We start from the raw sequence: 12,949 nt of genomic DNA, 5'->3' as shown, positions 1-12,949 counted from the left end.
GTACCCCATTGGGAGACTGGGTCTTCATTCTGAAGGCTCCTGGGTATATATGGTAAGTAAATTTGTATGCCTTTTCTCCAATTAATCCCCCTTTTATGAGTTGATTTTTCAGCAAACCTTCAGCAGGCCAAGGGGAACTTTCCCTTAGCCCCTACAGTAGTTTGCCATGGTAGACTAAAGAAAGCCCCAGTTCTTCATCCCTCCCAGGATCCCTGCCCTTTGTCATGTGACTTCTCACTCAGGCTGTATGGGCTTGGCCATGGGATTTGCTTTAGCCAATTGGGCTTGAAAGTATTTGTGAAATTGACTTGTTTATTCTCAATCTCTCTCTCTCTCTTTTTCCCTCTCTCCCATAGCCACAAGGACATTTCTGGACTGACCTGCTAGAGGAAGATAGAAAGACATAGTGCCACTGGACATTTCATTTTGGCCTACAGTAACCAACACCCACAGAATGGAACTGCCCATGGGTACCCTTAGTGGGAAACAGGGATAAAAATGAAACTACTGCTTTCTCAACACCTACCGTGTGCCCGGAAATGTTAACTCATTTCAGTGAGATGGTGATGTTGGGGCCAGCATTCAAGCCAGCCTCCAGCCTGACTTGGAAGCTCTGGGTGTTCACACCACCTGGCAGTGCCTCCAAAGACAGCCTTTAACCCTGCTTCCTCGTCTGGCCACACTCCTCACCCACTCCAGCGCCGAGTCTGACCCCAAAACATCTCTGCGAGGGCAGACCTCCATGTTACAAAGTCCGGGAGACACTTTCCAACCTCACCTTACTTGCCCCTCTCAGCAGCTTGGCATCTGTGTGGCTGCGGGTCTCCTGGGTTTCCTCCTGCCTACCTGGCCACACCTTTTCAGGTATAGCACGATAATCTGTCTGTATTTTTTCCCTCTTTCCTTATTTCGTTTTTTCTTTGCTGTCTTCCTTTCTGTCTCCTTCTTTCCCGTCTTGGTTTTTTCCTTCCTTCCTGAAATGGAGGACAACTGTCCCTCTTTGTCCGGCAAAGAGTCACTTCTGGAGAGCATTTAGATACTCAAATGTTGGGCAACGAAGCATCCATTGTTCAGCGCTTAGGGGAAGAGGCGGATCAATTTGCATAAATCCTTTGAGATATTCAGGGAGAGGAACGTGCAGTACCAATTTATAATAGTGACCTGTGGCCTTGAGATTTGTGGACATATTTGGGTTATATAGCTCTAGTTCTCCCTGGTGCTGAAACTCAGGACTTAGCCCTTCAGGGCTGAGTAAATCTCTAAGAATCTTGATAGTTACAGATAAGGGAGTTGCAGAGGAAGACACTAAAGACCCTATAATATGGCCGGTGGAGGCTGGAGCCCTTAACTGGAATTTCCATTGCCAGCTCATCTCTTCTGTAAACCTTGATTTTCCTCAAGGCTCAGCCTTAGGCCATCTTCTTTTCTCATTCTCTGTTTGCTCCCTAAGTCATGAAGTACCCTGCCAAGATTTCAACGACTAACTACAGTTCGGTGTCTCTCAAATTGTTATCTCTGAATCAGATTTCTCCTTTGAGTTCCTAGAGCTAAGCAGTCAGCATCATCCCCTTCTGCATCATCTCGTGGTTCAAGATGGCTGCTTGAGCTCCAGCCATCTGGTCTGCATTCAGTCAGAAAGGAAGAAGGAAAAAGGGGAGAAGAACACACGCCACACTCCACACCATTTTAAGGAGATTTCTTTATTAAACAGCCAGTGGAACAGTTTCTTACATTTCATTGGTTAGAACTTGGTAGCACAGTCACATCTCCCTTCAATGGAAACTGGGAAATGTAATCTCTTAGCAGGTGACAAAGTGCCCATCTAAATAGTGAGATTATGTTATGAAAAGGTAAAAGATTGAATAGTGGGAGAAATCAGGAGTTTCTACCACAATGCCCCAGGTCATAAACATGATCTTACCTCCAAAACAGGCCCAGACAGGGAAATCTATAGAGGGTAAAAGTAGATTAGTAGTTGCTTAGGGCTGGCGGTGGGGAAAGAGGGGTGGAATAGGAAGTGATAACAAGGCCGGGCACGGTGGCTCATGCCTGTAATCCCAGGACTTTGGGAGGCCAAGGTGGGTGGATCACCTAAGGTCAGGAGTTCAAGACCAGCCTGGCCAACATGGTGAAACCCCATTTCTACTAAAACTACAAAAATTAGCCGGGTGTAGTGGCGGGCACCTGCCTGTAATCCCAACTACTAGGGAGGCTGAGGCACGAGAATCGCTTGAACCCTTGAAATCTGGAGGCAGAGGTTGCAGTGAGCTGAGATTGCACCATTGCACTCCAGCCTGGGTGACAGAGTGAGACCCTGTCTTAAAAAAAAAAAAAAAAAAAAGGAAGTGATAACTAAAGGATACAGGGTTTCTTCTTCTTCTTTTTTTTTTTTTTTTTTTTTTGAGATGGAGTTTCGAGCTCAGGCTGTAGTGCAATGGCATGATCTCAACTCACCGCAACCTCCGCCTCCCGGGTTCAAGCAATTCTCCTGCCTTAGCCTCCCGAGTAGCTGGGATTACAGGCATGCGCCACCACACCTGGTATTTTTGTATTTTTAGTAGAGACGGGGTTTCTCTATGTTGGTCAGGCTGGTCTCAAACTCCTGACCTCAGGTGATCCGCCCGCCTCAGCCTCCCAAAGTGCTGGGATTACAGGCGTGAGCCACCACGCCTGGTCCAGGGTTTCTTCTTGAGGTGAAGAAAGTGGCCAGGAGTAGTTGCTCATGCCTGTAATCCCAGCACTTTGGGAGGCTGATGGAGGAGTAGAGCTTGAGTCCAGGATTTCAAGACCAGCATGGGCAACATGTTGAGGCCCCATCTCTACAAAAATAGAAAAATATTAATGGAGCATGGTGGCACACACCTGTGTTTCTAGGTACTCAGAAGGCTAAGGCAGGAGGATCTCTTGAGCCCAGGAGGTTGAGGCTGCAGTGAGCCGTGATCTTACCACTACCCTCTGGCCTGGGAAACAGAGGGAGAACCTGTCTCAAGAAAAAAGAAAGTGTTCTAAAATAGACTGTGTTGAAGTTGGCGCATATCTATGAATTATACTAAGAACCATTGACTTGTACAATTTAAATGGGTAAACTGTGTGGTATGTATATTATATCTCAATAAGCCCATTTTTAAAAAAACAAAACCCACTAGAAGATAAACTTCAGGAGGATGGGACTTTGCTAGCTCCTGACTGTCTCTGGCGTGTGGTGGGCACCCAGGAGCTGTTTTGTGACTGGTAAATGAATGAATGCTTGACCTCTTTCTCCCAACCCCTCACTGCCAATTCAGTGCAAAATCCTATTGTTTGACCTCTAAGTTCTGGCCGCTTCTCCCCAGCTTCACTGCCACCACGCAGTTTCACACTACCATTTTCTCCATCTCACAAGAGCCCCCTCCCATCCATTCTCCACGCAGCTGTCACAGAAGCCTTCTAAAAAGACAGAACTGATCTGTCCTGCCTCTGCCAAAAATGCCTCAATAATTTCCCATTGCTCCCAGGACAATGTGCAAAACCCCAAACATGGCCTCCAGGCCACCTTGCCTGCCTTGGCTTCTCCACCTACCTTGCCTGCCTTGGCTTCTCTGTCACCACCATACTCTGCTCTCCCCTCTCTGCAGTAGGTATCAGCTCTCCTGGTTCCTCAGACACTGCCTAGAACATGGGCAGAGCCTCCACTCACCCCATCCCACACACCCACTCTCCTCTCCAGTAGAGCTCAGCTCCAGGCCATCTCCTTACAGGGCTTCCCAGAAAGAGGCCATAACCCGCTTCGTAGGTCCTCACATCTCCCTGAAATCTCATGGCACTTACCATGCAAGCTTGTCATTATATATCTATTTGGGTGTTTATTTCAATTCAACTCAACCAATATTTATGGATGACCTGCATGCCAGGTCCTCTTTCACAACACCTCCTCCTGGTCCCATCCCCAACCTACAAGGGCTCCCTGTCTGCCTCTGTCCCTTTGCCCCTGAGAGGCCAGGACCAGCCCAGCCAGTAGACTCCTGGGCAGATAATGACAGCAAAGACACAACAACTGGCCATGCACAGTGGCTCACACATGTAATCCCAGCACTTTGTGGGGGCCAAGGTGGGTGGATCACTTGAGGCCAGGAGTTCAAGACCAACCTGGCCAGTATGGCAAAACCCCATTTCTTCTAAAAATACAAAACTTAGCCAGGCATGGTGGCAGGCACCTGTAATCCTAGCTACTTGGAAGACTGAGGCAGGAGAATCACTTGAACCCAGGAGATGGAGGTTGCAGTGAGCTGAGATCGCACCATTGCACTCCAGCCTGGGCGACAGAGCAAGACTCTCTCAAAAACAAAAACAAAAACAACAAAAAGACGCGATAACAACTGCCACCCAGTCCAGCCTTTCCAGGGCCCGACTGGCCCAGCAGTCAGGGCCAGTGAGGAATGGATGGGCAGAGCATGAGCTGGGCACCTGGACAAGTTCTAGATCAGCTCTGCCACTGGCTGGACATGAGGCCTTGGGCCAATCCCTGCCCTCCCTGGACTTCAGTGTCCTTATTTATAAAAAGAGTCTCTCGGTCTGACTTAGGAGAGTATTCTTTGAATCAATGACCAAGATCTTTATAAAAAGTTCATGATGACAGGGCTTCGGGTTTCACTCATTCACTCTTCAATCGTTGATCATTGATTCATTCATTAATCGCCATATATTTATCAAGCATCTCCTCTATAACAGGCCTTATTCTAAGCTGAGTTGTCACAGGGACCAAGACAATGACAGGCAGGGCCTATTGAGGATACAGATATGGGGCCACGGACACAAACACATCAACAGGCAATCCCAGTTCTGTGTGTGAAAGGAAAAATATAATGTTCTTTATTCTTTTTTTTTTTTTTTTTTGAGACAGAGTCTCACTCTGTCGCCCAGGCTGGAGGGCAATGGCGCGATCTCTGCTCACTGCACCCTCCGCCTCCCGGATTTAAGTGATTCTCCTGCCTTAGCCACCTGAGTAGCTGGGATTACAGGTGCTGGTCACCACACCCAGCTAATTTTTGTATTTTCAGTAAAGACAGGATTTCGCCATATTGGCCAGGCTGGTCTTGAATTCCAGTCCTCAGGTGATCTGCCCACCTCGGCCTCCCAAAGTGCTGGGATTGTAGGCATGAGCCACTGCACCTGGCCATAATATAATGTTCTTTATTTTCTAATAATGCCATCTTTATTTCAAGTGCTGCCTCAAATGAGGTAGAAGGAGAATATATCTGTTGTCAATGCTGCCTACTCCTTTTCTGCCATCACCTCCTTTCTTCTAGTCCAGGAAAAGTATTTATCAAGTCAAGGAAGGGATGGGGAGCAGGGTGGGATTCAGTTACTGTGGATATGTAACAAAAAAATTCACAATTCAGGCAGGGCTCAGCGGGGACACTTCTGTTCTGCTGGGCATCCGCTGGGGAAGCTGGAAGGCTGCAGCAAGATCATCTGAAGATTCACTCACATGCCTGGCTGTTGGCTGAAAACTTAGAATATGTACAGGTGGCCTCCCCATGTGGCCTTGGCTTCCTGACAACACGGCGGCTGGTTTTCAAGGGTGAGTATGGACAGAAAGAGAGAGAGAAGCTGAACTGCTGCAATGACCTACCCTGGGAAGATTAGGCTTGCGCCACATTCTGTCCACCTAGTCGTCTCAAGATCCCACTCAGTTTCAATGGGATGAGGAAATATCCAACTCTTGATTGGAAAGGTTCTGGAAGAGCATGTGGAAAAGAAACTATGGCCATGGCCACGTTTGAAAAATACAAGCTACCACAAGAGTGGGGAATGGTCCAGTTTACTTTTTTTTTTTCTAATGTCTCCCCTTTTTTTTTTTAATGACTTAAACCTTTCAGTTCCCCTAAGGGCTTAGGATTCAGGACACAAAGTCCAGTGACTTTTCTGCTTTCTGCTTTGTCATGGTCCTCCTGAGGAAATAAGGACCTCAGTTAACATCTAGCAAGTAACACCAACCAGGTGGAAAAGTGCTCTGAGAGCCACCCTGGCCTGAGGAATTGGGAAGCTGGGAAGGGAGGAGGAAGGAGAAAGTGGCCAGATGTGGAAGAGACAGGTAGGGCAATGAGGGACAGAGGGACGTCAGGGTAGATGCTTAGTGCTCCATGCAGGGAGGGAACAGCATGTGCAAAGCTGCTAAAGGAAAAAAAGAAGAAGTCAGCATTGAGACAGAGCTGAGAGACGAGGAGGGTGAGATTGGCAAACCAGTTAAACTTTATATGAGGAGTCTGGTGTGAAGTCATGGAAGGAAGGGTTTTAAGCAAAATAATGTGATAAGATTTGTATAAAGCCTACCTTGAATAAAGTGAAATGGATTCAAGAAGCATTTGAGAAGCAGAAATATTGGGTCTTGTTGATGTATTGGGTATGGAGGAGGGAAAGGGAAGCTTCCCCCAGGTGCTCACAGCACCTCCTTCTCAGGGTTTGCCCAGATTCTGGCCAGGAGGCCACAGCCACTGCCAGGAGCCAGCACAGCCCACTGCATGCCTGCAAAGGCGGGCCATGGCAGGACAAGACCTCCTGGAATGGGATGAGACATGCACTCCCAACTGTCCACAGCTTCACTAGGGCCTTCATCCGTGAGCAGGATTCCCGTCTGTTCTCTCCCCAGGAGCAGAGCTCAGTAGCCTCTGACAAAGGGACTTCTCAGCCAATGATGCGGGAGTAGAGGCCTAGCAGGCTGGAGGGCAGTGGGGAGGAGGAGCTGCAGGGCATCCTGCAGCCAGAGAGCACCCCCTGGGTGAACAGGTGACCCAATCTGCCTTCCACAGGAATCACCAGGAAAGGTGAGGCCAGGAAGGATAGAGACGCTTCTTGCACACCTGAGTGGGGAGATGCGTCTGCATTGGGACCAAATCTGAAGTTACCTGGGCCCCTGGGCCACCTGCTCTGGGCACCCAGCACTAGCACCATTGTGCCCAGGGCAGGAAAGCCACAGGATGAATGTGCCCCACCTTCCTAGAGCAGCAATTTGGCTCAAAGAATGTGAGGAAAATATTATTTTCACATTAAACAGTATGATGAAGTAGAATGTAAGATGCCTGTGTGGATATTCAATAAACGGAAGACTTGCGATCCCACTGGTGCTCTGGGTTGGCTGTTTTGAGCCAAGCCCACGCCCACACACAAGCCTTCAGGGGAATGTGGTGTGGCTCCTTCAGGTGCCTCTCTGGTGGAAAAGTCTGAGGAAGATCACAGGCTTCGTTAACACCCGCAGTCCCGAGGATGGCTCTGCAACAGGATCTGCTGCTGGGAACGAACAGCAGTGTGTGGAAGGGGCCCCCAGGCCACACAGGTGTCACCTCAAGGAGCAGCTCCCGGTCACCCACAGCACTGAGAGGTGGTGGAAGTGTTGGTAGTGTCTTTCACTGGTGGAAGGTGACCTCTCCTGGAGCTGGTCTAGGCTCCCAGCAGGTCGTTCCTGTCACCTATCCTGCCATGGCAGCGCAAGTCAGTTCTCTCTAGCCGGCAGCTCCCATTGGGGATTGCAGCCAAGGAGAGTCCAGGTGGACTTTAGTCAGCCAGCAGTGGAGAGGAGACAGGAGAGAAGCCCCTCCTTGCACAGTTGACTTGGGCTCTGGTTTTGCTGGCAGTGCCCAGTTCTGGCACCTTTGCCCCCTGGTCAATGAGTACCAGGGTGGCTCTGGGTCAGAACAGTGACCAAAGGGCTGGGTGGGAGTGGACAGGTAGTGGGAGGGGCAGTGAGAGATGCAGGAAAGGGCTGTAGCCCTTTGTGGTCTGACTGAGAGAAGGAGAAAGGAACGAAGAGCAAGCACAAGCACGGGGGAGAAATGAGGGACTTTCTGTGTCGTCATCTTTTCCTGGTGTGAGGAGAGACCCTACCAGGCGGACCCAGGCCATCTGCTCTGCTCTAGTCCGTGGGCCCAATAGGACCTCTGCAGAGGTACCCAATGGCCCATGGCTACAGTGGACCTGGTACAGAAGAAAGAGAGCTGTACCCACTCCTCAGGAAGCCCCAGTAGAAGGGATAGAACGAAGATACAGCCCCGTCCTCAGGGCCCTAGTCTGAGGGGAGACGCAGCCCCGTCCTCAGGGAGCCCCAGTCTGAGGGGAGACGCAGCCCTCTCCTCAGGGAACCCTAGTCTGAGGGGAGACGCAGCCCTCTCCTCAGGGAACCCTAGTCTGAGGGGAGACGCAGCCCCGTCCTCAGGGAGCCCCAGTCTGAGGGGAGACGCAGCCCTCTCCTCAGGGAACCCTAGTCTGAGGGGAGACGCAGCCCCGTCCTCAGGGAGCCCCAGTCTGAGGGGAGACGCAGCCCTCTCCTCAGGGAACCCTAGTCTGAGGGGAGTGGTCTCCTTAGGTCCCTGCAAAGGCCCTTGCCTCCCTCACCACCTGTACTTCTGTGGCTTTGCTCCAAATTCATATAAACTGAGATGGGAAATCCTAGGAACTGAAACACTGTTAATCACCCTTTATTATTGCCCTTCCCTGGGTGACTCAGCCGTAGGAAAATCACAGCTCCTGAAGTGAACCCGGAAAGAAAACTGAAAGGGAGAGTGATGAGTGAGAGTCAGCTACTGCCACAGCCTTGGCAGCCACATAGCCTTGTCCCCAGAGGTTGCTGCTCTCAGCTGGTCACAGGCAGCTCCTGTACGGACAGAGGCAATGGGGTGGGTCTGGGCCAGGGGACGCCCAGTCCCCAGGGAGCCCCTGCAGCAGGGCTGGCCCTAGATCCATGCAGGGGCCAATGCACAGTGGTGAAAGCCTGGGGTGATCTCAGGGCCAGTGATTTGCTGTCCAAGCCTCTGACTCCTGCCCTTCCTGACTCAACCACATCCGGTTTGGGCTCTTGCAGGCTCCCACCTGGAACGCCCTCTCTTCCCTCCTGCGTGCCACACCCCGCTCTCTGGCAGCCCCTGATGTCCTCCTCAGAGCTGTCCTCACACCCTCTGTCTCAGCCCTTCTGGGTACTTGCTGTCACCTGACTGACTTGGGGTATGTGGGGTCTTTTGTCTTTTCTTCTCACTTGGACCCTGAAGCCTCAAGAACAGGTGCTTCCTGCAACAGAATGTGCTCAGCCCTTAGGAAAACCTGAATGAAGGAAGGAAGAAGGAAAACCAGAACCCAAACTTTTAGTTTTCTTGGCAGAACCAGAGATTGGGGGCCATGAAATGCTACGGGACACTGACCTGGCTGCCTTTCCCTAGGAGTGTGAGAGGACGAAACTTCTCCAAGCTAAAGGGGGCTTAGAAATCACTTGAAAACAAGCTCTTTTGAGGGGAAGGACCGGCCAAGGCCACCCTGCTTGCCAGCAGCAGAGCGAATGCTCATGCCGGGGTCTGCTGCCTCACTCCCTCTGCCTGACCCTCCACCCTTGTACCTGGACCCTGGGCTTTGGGCCAGGCTGAAACCCAGAGCAAGACATACTGTTCTGTGCTACTCCAGTGGGGCGAGGCGGGCAAGGCAGCCATGGCAGTGGCTGACCTGCTCCACCCACAGTGGGCACATTTCATCACCATGAGGGCTGGTAGCTTCTGTGGCCCAGGGAAAGCTATGCTTTGCAAACACTGAGCTACCTGGATCCCCATCCTGGTTCTTATGCAAGCACTCGGAACATTCCAGCCCCAGCCAGTGGTGAGAGCACAGCTGCCTGGATACCCTTCTCCTGCCAAGGCAACTCCTGGGGTCACTGTAGCCTGAGGTCCTGGCATGGGCTGCTCAGGAGGGGTCCTGCCCAGTTTTTCCTACTGCCAATGGCAGCAGTGTTTCCTACTGCTGATGGCAACGGTGTTTGGAGATAATCATAAAAATTATGATTCTAGGTTACTCTACCTGGCACTTCACAAACATTTTATCACCTAGTCCTCTTATGAACCCAATGAGGTAGCTACTGTTATTATCCCCATCTTTCAGGAGAAAGGCATTGGGGCCTGAAAGGGGCAGAGACCTGCCCAGCTGGCACAGCCAGCGTGTGGTGGAGTCGGAACTGCCCAGCTCCAGACCCTTGTTTTCCCTCACCGCACTGCCAGTGACCCAGCTGCTGCCACACCCTCCACCCTCGAAAGTGCTCCCAAGGAGAAGGCCACCTGAACTTCGGGCACGAGAAACAAGCCCTCTGGATAAGTTACAAAATGCTACAGGTGCTGGGGAAATAGGTGGTGCCAGGACCCTCTGCTTAGCCATAAACAGTGCATATTGAAACCCACTTAGGTCGGGTGTGGTGGCTCACACCTGTAATCCCAACACTTTGGGAGGCCGAGGTGGATGGATCACTTGAGGTCAGGAGTTTGAGACTAGCCTGACCAACATGGTGAAACACCACCTCCACTAAAAGTACAAAAAGTAGTCAGACATGGTGGCACGTGCCTATAGTCCCAGGTACTCAGGAGGCTGAGGCAGGAGAATCACTTGAACTCAGGAGGTGAAGACTGCAGTAAGCCGAGGCTGAGATCGCACCACTGCACTCTAGCCTGGGTGACAGACTGAGACTCTGTGTCAAAAAAAAAAGAAAAAAGAAAAAGAAAAAGAAACCTACTTAGGATCTCCCCTCTGCCTGATTCACCTGGTAGGGAAAGAATAGAGATGAGAACTAGCATTTGGCATCAGAGAAGCATCCACTGGGTGCCAGCCCTGGGACAGGCACTTATAAGATGATGACATTCAGCCCCAGGCAGAGCAGGTAATTTGGAAGTTCTTCTGTGTTTGAACCATCTGTGTGATGTCCTGAGGGCAACAGCCTCTACTGAGGGTGCTCAGGGCTCCACCCTTTGATCTTTCCTTCTCAATACTATGATTAGAGACCATGATCAAGACACACCTACCTACTGAGTTTCGAGGCCAGCAGGGTGGGCTAGCTAACACGGTGGAAGACAGGCTAACACGGTGGAGGTCAGGATCTGGATGGCAGTCTGCCCCATCAATATGAGTTGGTGTCCTTCAACATTTCCTACAATGGCCATCGAGGCCCTATTTGTGCCAGGCCCTGGACACCCGAATGGACAATAAGGGGTCACAGCCCTGGATGCAAATTGAGGGGGTTGAGTAGAACCACAAGAGCTATTGCCAGCTTCAGAGGCCACCCCCAGGATAGAATGATTAACTTGTGGGGAGGGTCAAGAAATGGTGTACAGGAGAGAGGCTTATCTGAGCCCAATTTTGAAAGACAAATAGAATAATAGGGTTCCTGCCCATGTAACCGCAGGATTCGTGTGAGAATCAGATGAGATAATGGGGACAGAATCTTGTGACAGAATCTCTTAAATCTTTAAAAAAAATTTAAAAACAACTTCTATATTTCCACTGGTTAGGAAATTGAAGCCCAGAAAGGTGGTATGACTTGTTCAAGGTCAACCAATGATTTAGAGGCAAATGCAAGACTCAAGACAGACCTTCTGATTCCAGCACTGTGTTCTGGCTTGTATTAGTCCATTTTCACACCGCTATAAAGAACTGCCTGAAATTGGGTAATTTATAGAGAAAAGAGGTTTAATTAACTCACAGTTCTGCATGGCTGGGGAGGTCTCAGGAAGCTACAATCACGGCAGTAGGGGAAGCAGGCACGATCTTACATGGTAGCAGCCGAGAGAGAGAGAGAGTAGGAGGAACTGTCAAACACATAAAACTATCAGATCTCGTGGGAACTCACTCACTATCACAAAAACAGCATGGTGGACACTGCCTCCATGATCCAATCACCTCCCACCAGGTCCCACTCTTGACACATGCGGATTATGGGGATTACAATTCGAGATGAGATTTGGGTGGGGACACAGAGCCAAACCATATCATAGTGCCTCTAACTGACTTCCATTGCCAAAACTGCTTGTCTAAGTATCTTGTTTATGAATGTTACTATAGAGTGGTGGCCCTTTACACTGTAGTATGAATTAGTGGCCAGCATGCTTGACAGAGAGCGCAGAACAGGGCAGTGAGGGAAATGTAAAAGTGGGAAGAGAGGTTGGAGATGAGAAAGAGACAAGTTGGGAATATGTAAGGCTGGGGGCCAGGAGGAACATTAAACTTCCTAGGGGACAGGTTTGTCCCCCATTTAACATTAAATTAAATGGGGGACAAGGAGGTTTGCATGGAAGTAGGAAGAGAGCTCAGGAAAGAGAGGTGAGGGTGCCAAACACAAACTTTACTATATGATCTGAAGGCCCTGTGTCCAAACCCTTCCTCCCCAGAGTGAGGAGCTGGGCCTGGGGTAAGACAGGAGAGACCTATCCTATGGGCTCTCTCTGAGCCTCCAACTCCACTGAGAGCTGTCCTGGCGGGAAATGGGAGTCTCACCTCCATATTCCCTTCCTTGTACAGAAGGGAAGAGGAAAATAAATAAGAATAGGAGATCTTCATTCAGGCTTCATGGGCCATCCCTGCCCCCACCTGGAGAGGAGGCTTGCAGTGACTCTTCCTTGTTTACTAGAAACCATAAGCTGGCAGTGAGGATTCTTGTTCATTATACCAAAGTGCAGAGTCTAGAGCCTCATCCCCCAGGTTAACTGGGCTCAGAGGATAATCCAGTCTTTTTTTTTCTTTATCTGTCTTCATTTTTGTTGACTTGGCCCACTCCACCCTCTCTCAACCTACATGATCAAGCCATAGAAGCAAATTTGCAGAAGACAAAACAAACAAAAATGTAAAGCAGAAAATTTGAAATGCTCATTATTCCACTCCCTAAGTGAATAAATTATTGGTTAACACTTTGGCACACTTTCTCTCTGTCTTCGTACCGGAAACATACCTGTATATTTCCCAGGAGACCAGATGGCCTGTGTAAAGTCTTCATATGCAGCTCCCTGACTCATAGGGGTGTAGGGAACAGTTTTCTTTTCTTTTTTTTTTTTTTTCTTGTTTTTTTTTTTTGAGATGGAGTTTCGCCCTGTAGCCCAGGCTGGAGTGAAATGGCATGATGTCGGCTCACTGCAACCTCCGCCTCCCAGGTTCAAGCGATTCTCCCGCCTCAGCCTCCCAA

The sequence above is a fragment of the Homo sapiens genome, chromosome 6, assembly GCF_000001405.40.
Source record: "Homo sapiens chromosome 6, GRCh38.p14 Primary Assembly".
NCBI lineage: Eukaryota > Metazoa > Chordata > Mammalia > Primates > Hominidae > Homo > Homo sapiens.
This window is presented reverse-complemented; position numbering follows the sequence as displayed.